Source organism: Homo sapiens, chromosome X (assembly GCF_000001405.40).
Source record: "Homo sapiens chromosome X, GRCh38.p14 Primary Assembly".
Classification (NCBI taxonomy): Eukaryota; Metazoa; Chordata; class Mammalia; order Primates; family Hominidae; genus Homo; species Homo sapiens.
Genome location: NC_000023.11, coordinates 153177019 through 153187027, shown reverse-complemented (window position 1 = coordinate 153187027; position 10009 = coordinate 153177019). Strand labels below are relative to the sequence as shown.

At 52.6% G+C, this 10009-nt stretch overlaps 1 protein-coding gene across 1 annotated transcript; it reads right to left on the bottom strand.

Annotated features, from left to right (window-relative positions):
* On the bottom strand, window positions 3148–7744 carry MAGEA1 (MAGE family member A1). The gene is made up of 3 exons (NM_004988.5): window positions 7663–7744; window positions 4779–4851; window positions 3148–4703 (listed from the first exon to the last, which is right to left on the bottom strand). Exon 3 carries the CDS (start codon window positions 4636–4638, stop codon window positions 3709–3711), a length of 930 nt encoding a protein of 309 aa, NP_004979.3. The 5' UTR covers window positions 4639–4703; window positions 4779–4851; window positions 7663–7744; the 3' UTR covers window positions 3148–3708.

The window sequence follows — 10009 nt, the reverse complement described above, 5'->3', positions numbered from 1 at the left end:
TTTTGCCCTAAGAATATACACAGTACAACCTTTTAAGTAAAAATATTTATACCTAACAACAGAAAGAGTAGCTCTGTCAGTTTAAGTAACTACTAGTTAATGCAACAGACAAGTCCTGAAATGTGAATAGCCTGACACAACTCAAGTGTATTATATGCGCACCTAAGTTCTGATGCGGTTTGGCAGGGGCTCCTCACTCTCACATGACCCAGGGATCCGGGCTGCTTCCACCTTATGATTCCATCATGTCAAAATGAAGCTGCCCTGTTTACCATTGAAAGGAGGGAGAAAGTGTGGAAATGGCACACTGGCTCTCACATGCCGGGATGTGACAAACACCTCTGTTCATGTTTTGGTGGCAAGGAAAAGTCACGTGACCCTTCCTAACTGTAAGTGGGCCTTACTGTTCCCATGTGTCCAGAAAGGGGAAGGAGACAAGATGTGGGTGAGCATTATAGTCTCCCCCATAAACTGTTACTTAGTAGCTGCACAACGAAAAGCTAAGGCAGGTGGATCACTTGAGGTCAGGAGTTCGAGACCAGCCTGGTCAACATGGCGAAACCCCATCTCTACTAAAATACAAAAATTAGGTGGGCATGGTGGCGGGTGCCTATAATCCCAGCTACTCAGGAGGCTGAGGCAGGAGAATTGCTAGAACCCAGGAGGCGGAGGTTGCAGTGAGCTGAGATCATGCCACTGCACTCCAACCGGGGCAACAGAGCGAGAATCCCTCATAAGTAAATAAATAAAGCAATTATGATTATTTGGTAGTATTTGGCATTACACTACCCTTCTCATTTCTCAAAGGAGTTTCGGAAAAGGCCACATTTGGCTTGAAGTTCTCCAACTTGTTTCCAGTGCCTAATATGTGAACAATGCTTTCAAATATAGGATCACAACTAACTGTCCAAGAATCTTGAAAGTCTCAGCAGGAAGCCTTCCCTTTGCATGACCCTTTGAATCCTGAGTAGACTGCAATTTTTTTGTCCATTTGATTCCAGGTCAAAATCTTAACCTGTGAGTTTCTGCTACCCTCCACATGTCTGAACTCGTGTCAGGTGTCTCTAGGCACACTGAAAGCCAGTATTTTCCTGCGAGGCAGTTAAACAGACAAGCAGCAGTAGAAAGCTGCTTAATTATTCGTTTTCCATCAGAGCAGAAGTGTCTTCAAGGAATCAGGGCCTCCAGGGATTTAGGAGTTCAGTAAGTAGATGTTTGTTCCACTGATTTCCAAAGCTTCCCCTCATCTAATACTCATGAGGGAGGCTTTGGTTTTAAAGCATTCATCTGTGTATGTGCTCAGAGGTAAACTCCAAATAAGACACCCTGATAAAGTCCAATTTCAAGTATCAAGGTGGTTCCAAAACCTTCTAATTTCATGGCGACATCCCAAGAACGCTTAGATAATATGGCGAATCAGACTCTACTCAGCACATTCATAAAGCACTTGGACAGTGTACTGAAGATAAGCAGAGTGGTAACCAGGTGTGTAAACATCACTATCCCATGGGAATTCAAAAGGGGTGTTGATATCACATAGCTTCCTGGGTGAGAGATGGGACATCCAGAGGACTTCTACAAGGAAAAGGAATGTGGCCTGTCATGGGGTGAGCAGGTGATTCTGGGCTGTTCTGTGGGGACTAGTGACAAGCTGGTCAGCAACCCGTGTTCCAGAGTGAGACAGGACACATGGAAGTGGCCAGGGGAAACTCACTGCAATTCGGGAAAGTGCTGGGACTGACAGAAATGCCCACACCTTGGCAGAGTCAGCTGTCAAGGAACCCAGTGCACACCAGCCTCAAATGGTGTTTCATTCTCACTGTCACCTTCCCCAGGCCTGTTTTTAGTACGCTGGCCTCGGGGTCCTTCTTTTTGTCACCAGAGACATACGGCACAGTGTTGAGAAGAGAAAGGAAGTATTACTCAGGAGGTGGGCCACGGGCTGGGAGGAGTGGGAACAACATGGGCTCTGCAGGAATTCAGGTCCAGGATCCGGTTCCAGCCCTGTCCCTTACTAGGCGTGTGATCCTGGGAAATACCCAAGCCTTGCGTGCCTCTGGTTCTACATCTGTGTAGTAGGTGTGATTAGACCCTTCCGCTAGGACTGGTGGAGTGTGTGCCATGCAAGTGAAGCACCTGGCTCAGGGCCTGGAGTAAATTACAAGTTTAATGGCTAGCAGGTGGCTGTTATTGCTAATATTATTTGAGCCCAGACTCTACCACTCTGGGATTTTGTTGTTGTTGTTCTCCAGGACTTATCAGAGAATATACAACTTAATAGGACATGGAATAATTAACCAAAGAGGGAAGTTTCATCCATAAAATTCAGTAAAGTATTTCCTCTTAGAGAATGAACTTCAAAATTTGGGTATGTGAGTTTCCCTAGCCAGATGCAGCTCAAAGATCGTAGAATTTGAGTCAAAAACCAACTCCTTTCCTCTCTCCCACAGACCTTTCCATCCAAACCACTATTTTCATTCATTTTGTCACCACACGAAATCTTGCTTACGACTGGCCAAATTGCACGTGAGATAACCTCATTAGGATGCCTTTTTAATAGAGTCAGCCCTGGTCCTCCCAGCCAGGCAGAAAAGTGCCTGGCCAGTGGCTTCTGGGTCTCCCTTCCGGGGAGATTCACGCTTCTCTCTCAGGAAATGCTTTCGGATGATGAGTGTCCATCACGCAGCTCTTGCGCTGTGTTCAGAAGCACTGGCACAAAAGCATAGGACACTTTCCAATCCTGCTCAGGTGGAGACTCCTCTGTTCATCCACCATCCGAAAGAAACTCCTCAGAGCAGCTTTCCATTCCAGGCTTTTCTCTCACCGTCTGAGAATCTGGCCCTGGATCCACCCAAGATCATTACAATCAGCTCCCCCAGAAGGAACTGCAGTTTCCCAAAGCCCAAAATGCCCCAGCTCAGGGCATTGACACTCCACCACTCTCACCCGGAGCCCCACACCCTCACCCCTCTCTCACTTTTCCCTACATCTTTAGAGGACATCTTGCCACCTCGATTACGTGACTGCAGCTCCTAGACTCTACGACCCTATGGGTGGGTATGAGTCTGGCTTACCTTAGCATCTCCACTACTAACCCAGGGCCTTCCAAAAAGCAGATGCTCAGTGCATGGAGAAGAAAAGAGCCAGTGAACAGGAAGAATTCTTTATTCAGATTTAATTTCTCTTACATTCTCAAAGAAGCCAAGGAAATCCAGGTATGCATATATCTTTAAAAATTTTACAGAATAGACTGAGGTATAAGGCAAGAATTGACTATCTCTTAATTTCTTTAGTTCTTTATCTCATCTATTTTACTGCTCATTTTTCACATTTCTAAGTACTTATTCCACTGCTGTTATTATCCCAATTCACAAAATAGAATGGATTTCCCAATCTGAATAAAACACAAGACTCTTACCCTTAAACTATATACACAGAACTGTGTGACTGCTGTCATTCATAAACTTGGATGCTGAAGTTCATTCAACCATCCCTTAAAAAAAAACATTTGAACAATTCCAAAAGAGAACAAAGATAAATCTCCAAGTCACCCAATAGAACAGAAACCTACTACTGAGAACACTGACCGCTCTCTTCAGAGTGAAGAATGGGCCTCATGTCACACGAGGCAGGGGAAGCTGCTGGACGCGGCCCTGGAAGGTGCACTGGCCCAGTCCCCCTCCCACTGGCCTTGGCTGCAACTCATGCTCAGACTCCCTCTTCCTCCTCTCTCAAAGCTGCTTCACGCAGGGATGGGAAGAAAAAGCGAACTCTTGCACTGACCTTGATCACATACTCAAGGACTTTCACATAGCTGGTTTCAGCGAGGGCCCTTGGACCCCACAGGAACTCATAGCGTGCGGGATCACTGTCCGGCACCTGCCGGTACTCCAGGTACTTTTCCTGCACCAAATCTTGGGTGAGCAGCTTCCTGGGCTCCCCATAGGCACTGTGCTCCCTCCCATCATACACCTCCATCACACTCAGCTCCTCCCAGATTTCCTCCTCAGGAGCATGGCCGCCCTCCATTGCAATCATGACCAGGACAATTATCAGGAAGCCTGTCTTGGGCATGATCTGATTATCACCCAGCAGGCCATCATAGGAGAGACCTAGGCAGGTGACAAGGACATAGGAGTGGCCGGTGGGGTCTGCTTCCTTCACGTCAATGCCAAAGACCAGCTGCAAGGACTCAGAGGCTTTGCCGAAGATCTCAGGAAAACAGTGCTTGTAATTTTTGATGACACTCTCCAGCATTTCTGCCTTTGTGACTGGCTCCCTGGCTCGATATTTGAGGAGCAGAAAACCAACCAAATCAGCCACCTTCTTAGTGATTACTGCTCGGAACAAGGACTCCAGGATACAAGAGGTGCTTGGCCCCTCCTCTTCACGGCTGCTGGAACCCTCACTGGGTTGCCTCTGTCGAGTGAAGTTGATGGTAGTGGGAAAGGCGGAGGCTCCCTGAGGACTCTGGGGAGGATCTGTTGACCCAGCAGTGGGCACCTCCTCCAGGGTGCCCAGGACCAGAGGAGAGGAGGAGGAGGTGGCAGCCTGCACACACACCAGGCCCAGGGCCTCTTGTTGGGCCTCAAGGGCTTCCTCAGGCTTGCAGTGCAGACTCCTCTGCTCAAGAGACATGATGACTCTCGTCAGGGCAGCAGGCAGGAGTGTGGGCAGGAGCTGGGCAATGAAGACCCACAGGCCTGGGGAGAGAGGGAGTGTGTGAGAGGCCTCAGCTGAGAACTGAACCTTGGAGACTCTAACAAAGGCCTACTTACAGATCTTCTCCTTGGTGCTCCTCTGTGGCCTCCAGGGAATCCTGTCCTCTGGGTTGGCCTGTCCCCTGAAAACCTGAAGGAGGAAGTGAGAGGGTACTCAGGGTACAGCCGGCCAGCAGAGGTCGATTCTACAGGACTGACAGTAGGGAGGTGAGGCCAGACTCTGTGGAGTCCTATGTGTCCTGTGGCAGGTGGGGCCCTTGGTGTGCATTCAGGGCAAACATTCACTGCTGGCACACCCTGTGCATCCTCTGCTCTGTGACCTGAGGATACTGTCTCAGACCAAGGCCTCACTGCCTGGTTCCTGGAGCTCCAGGAAGAGGAATCCACGGGCCCTCAGGGTGCAGACCGCAAGCACAGCCCTGGCTTCTCAGTGCTACCAGGAGGGTGGGCTGGACTCTGTGACATCCCCACTCTCATGCAGTGGATGACCCCCTCTGTTCTCACGCAGGGCCCTTATATTTTTCCTGGCAGGGCCTGGATCCTGCCCTTTTGCTGGTCTGAGAAATCCAAATCAAGAGTTCACATCCATGATAAGGAATGGAAGGACAGGAGGGGACAAACATCTGGCCACACGTGCCTAGGTCCTTGGGGAAGGGCAGCAAGAGATATCAAAATTCATTGGAATTAATGTGTCCTGGGTGAGGTGCCCGCTTGGTCCTCACCTTGACTCCTGGCAGGGCCTGGGACGCTCCCTCTACTGACCTGAGCGCAGCCTTCTCAGACCAAGGCCTCCCCGTCCCTGACATCAATGATCCCAGGATAACGGAAGGACCTCGGCAGACGGCCCAGCCCATGCTCTCTGGGGTGACAGCAGGGGCAGGGCTGATTTCTGTGCAGTCTCCCTCAGTGTTCTGGTCCTGGGGTACCCTCAGTCCTCCCTCATGTTCCTCACCCGAACGCATGGCAGATCCTGGGACCGCTCTGTCTTTAGACCAGATGGGGGTCCCTACGTTGACCTGAGTCACCCTCTGAGAATGAGGTCCTCACCTGCCCCAGATCTGGAAACAGGAGTGAAAAGAAGCCACATCCTGGGTGAGGTGTCCAGGGCTGACCCCTTTGGTTCTGGGGTGAGGATTCCAATAGCCTTGTCTGTCTCACTCATCTTTATTCCTGCCAGCGCCTGTGCTTCCTCAACCCCCAATTCCCTGACATGAGTAGACATCCCCCCTTTACCCCAAGACCCCATCTCCCTGAGGGCCCCCCAACTTCCTGCCTGTGGTACAAGTGAGAATGGAACATACCGCCATCCCTGATCTGGTCCCCCTAGAGCTACTAAAAGGGGACAGCCAGACTGTGTGGAGTCCCTTCTTTCTGAGCCGGGGATATCCCCAGTCCTCATGAAGGGGGCACATCTTGGGCCATATGGATCCTGGAACTCCTCCCTCTGTTGACCTGAGGCCCCACTTCTCAGACCACAGCTCTGTCCTGTCACCTCAAAGATGCAGGAAATATGGGCCATATGTGGCCACCGTGCCCTGGACCTCTCAGGGCCGAGGTCCACACTGATCTGGATTCCAAGGTCCCCTGAGTCCTCCCTCCTCTTCCTCCGCGTAAGCCTTGCAGGCCTGGGTCCCACCCCCATGCTAATCTGAGTCCCCATCATTCTGATTCTTGAGGCCAGAAGTGGCAGCCTCAGTCTCAGACAGGGGTGCGGTGTCCTAGGGTGCTGGGTCCTCTGAGGCCTCCCTCATCTCGCAGTAGGGCCCTCCCTCTGCTCCCCTGAGGCCCTGTTCAAGCCCCTTCCCTCCATCAGCCCTGGATGGGGACGTCAAGATCCGAGTGCCTGGCCGCCATTCCCGTGGCTTCCGTGGGTTGACAGCAGGGATTCTGACAAGATGAGGTTGGGGGTAGGGGGTAGGTATGGGAATGTGAGTGGGGTGGCGGTGGAGATGAGGAGACAGGTGTGGGTGGGGAACCCTCAGTTCCCTCCCAGGGTCCTGACCCTAATGCCGGGCGGATGCCTGGACCTTGATGCCTGGGCCCTGCCCTCTCCTGACCAACCCTGCCCCGGTCACATAAGCTATGACTACAGATTGCCCTGTGGGTTAAGTGGCAGTGGGACGGGACGGGGGGTGGTCCAGCTGAGACATCTGTCCTGGCCGGGTGGTCCAGGGCTGGCAGCAGGGGTGGTACTGGATCATTTTGGGGCCATCTACCTGGGGTGTGTGCCTCCTCAGTCCTCCCTCAGCATCTCACCTTGCCTCCTCACAGAGCCTAAAACCACTCCCCTCAGTGGATCTCAAGCCGCCCCTCAGAACCATTAAATGAACCTGGCTTCTCTCAGATCTGTGAGGTTCAAGTCAGTGGTTTCACATCGGGCCATCCAGGGCTTCCCTGGGTTGAGAGCAGGGGCAAACCGGATTCTGCCAGAATGGGGGAGGCGATGGGAGTGGGGCACATGAGAGAGATGAGGGTGGGGTTGGGGGCAGTGAGGGTGAGGTGGCAGAAGGGTTGGGGCTGGTGCTGGGGCTGGAGGGTGGTGGTCAGGTGACGGAGTAGGAGTAGGGATGGGGGTGGAGGTGTAGCTGAGGAGATGGGGGTTGGGTGGGGAATGGGAATGCGAATGGGGTGGGAGTGGGGATTGGAGTGCAGTCTTGGGGGCCCACAGCCCTCCCTCTTGGGTGCTGATCTTGATGCCTGGCAGAGCCTGTGCCCTGCCCTCTCCTAACCAGTCCTGCCCTGGTCACAGCAACCTCTGATTCCAGAGCTTGGGGAGAAGAACCTGGTGTCTCTCAAGGCTTTTGGAGCAGGGGTCTGGGGGCAGCCCAGGCTGAGACGTCTTCCCGCGGGTGGGCCAGGGCTGGCAGCAAGGGCGGCGCTGGAATATTTGGGGCTCTCTATTTGGAGTGGCGGGGTCCTCAGTCCTCCCTCAGCCTCTCACCTTGCCTCCTCACAGAGCCTGGGTCAGGTTCCTTCGGCCGAACTCTACGCCGTCCCTCAGAATGGAAACCTCGCTTCTCTCTGCCCCACAATGCGCAAGTCAGTGGCGTCACATCCGGGCACCCGGATGTTTCCTGGCGGGAACCGGATCCTGCCTGGGTGGGGGTGGGAGTGGGCGTGGGGGTGGGGGTGGGGGTGAGGGTGGAATGGCTGGGCGGATGGGCATCAGGGTTGAGGGATGGGGTGGGGGATGTGGGGTGGGGGTTGGAATGACAATGAAGAGGGGGTTGGGTCACGGGAGTGAGCATTGGAGTGGGGGTTGGGTCACGGGAGTGGGGTCTTAGGGACCCTCAGCCCTCCTTGAGAATCCTGAGCATGATGTCTGGCAGAGCCTGGACGCTGCCCTCTCCTAAGCAGCCCTTCCCTGATCACACGAGCTCTGACTTCAGAGTCCCCAGTGGTTTAAGCAGCAAGGGGGCTGGGGGTGGCCCAGCCTGAGAAGTCCACCACCAGATGGTCCAGGACTGGCATGAAGGGATTATTTGGGGTCCTCTATCTGGGGTAAGTGGGTCCTCAGTCCTCCCTCAGCATGTCACCTTGCCTCCTTACAGAGCCTGGGCCCGCTTCCCTCCACCGATCTCAAGCCGCCCCTCAGACCGAAAACCTCGCTTCTCTCTAACCACTAATGCTCAAGTCAGTGGCGTCACATCTGGGCACCTGGGCTTCCCTGGGTTGAGAGCAGGGGTGGAACCGGATTCTGCCTGGCTTGGGCTGGGGGTGAGCGTGAAGATGTTTGGATGGGTGGCGTAAAGGGAGGGATTGGGGGTGGTAGGGGGAGGGATGCCAGTGGTGCCCCGGGGCTTAAGTCGTCGTGTTGGTGGTAGTGGGGTTGGGCGTGGGGTTGGGGGACCCTCGGTCACCCCTCAGGGTCCTGACTTTCATGCCTGGCAGAATCTGGACACCCATATTCTCTGCCGATTGTGTCTGCTTCTCTCCCACCAAGTCTCTGGCCCCCAGTCCCATGAGGTGGCAATGGGAGGGGGGGTGTGGTCGTGGTAACATTGCCAGGGTCTTCCAGGGCTGACAGGAGGGGCTGAGCTGCATTCTGTGGCCCATCTACGTCGGGAGAGTGGACCCTCTGTCCCCACTCAGGAAGGTCCTCCTCCCGGCTCCTGGCACTTTGTTGAAGTCATGGGCGGGAGATGCTGTTTCTGCCATCTCTGAGCATTTGCCCAGCTGCACCCATTGCAGAGAATGGCTGCAGGTCCCAGGCCAGGTGCTCCCTGCAGAGTGGCAGCTCCCGCGATTGTAGTGACCTCTGGGAGAAGACGCACACCTTCCCACGGGGGCTTCTCTCCAGCCAGAGCTACACTTGGCAAACCTTTTGTCCTCAAAGTAATATGTTTTACTCCCAGGCACGGTGGTTCACGCCTGTAATCCCAACAGTTTGAGAGGCCGAGGCGGGCAGATCACTTGAGGTCAGGGGTTCAAGACCAGCCTGGCCAACATGGTGAAACCCCGTCTCTACACAAAATACAAAAATTAGCTGGGTGTGGTAGTGCTCAGGAGGCTGAGGCGTGAGAATCGCTTGCACCTGGAGGCGGAGTTTGCAGTGAGGCGAGATCGTGCCATTGAACTCTAGCGTGGGCCTCGCGACAGAGTGACACTCTGTCTCAAAAAATTTAAAAAATGAAAAAGAAATACACTTTTCGTATCTTCCAAGGATATATGTAGGTAGCTGTATATATATATGTATTTATTTCTAGGAAAGAATACCTACCAGTAGTATGCATGATTCACTCTTATATCCTATTCTACTTCTTTTCCATTCTTTACGTTCTGTTGAAATAATTTTTTTTGAAACACAATTTCTCACCCACTATGTTGGTGTCTGGTTGTTATTAGTGGAACTCTTGATCCATACTGTCTTAACCAGCCCTGTTTAACTGGTGTCCTGCTGTTGCCCTAGGGCTACTAGCATCATGTTTTGAGGAGCTGCCTCAGACTGTGTAATGATGTGAAGTGGAAATTTGAAAACTTTCATTGTAACCATTTTGTCAACTGCAGTCTAGGCAGGGTACAGACCTCCCCAGTATCCCTGCTGCCACCCCCCCTCCAACCGAGACTGCAAGTGTCAAACACAATTACCAGTTCAACCATCTTCAGCATCACCCAGGGCTTTCTCTATTTTGTTGCTTAGACTTTGTTGCTGATATTGTGTCTTTCTCCTTCTTTTTCCCTTCTATAATTTTCCAGGGTTGATTTGTGAAGCAGAGAACAGCAGCCCAAATTTGATTGTCACGTTGGCAGCCACAGGTAAGACATAATTTGTACATAATTGTACATAA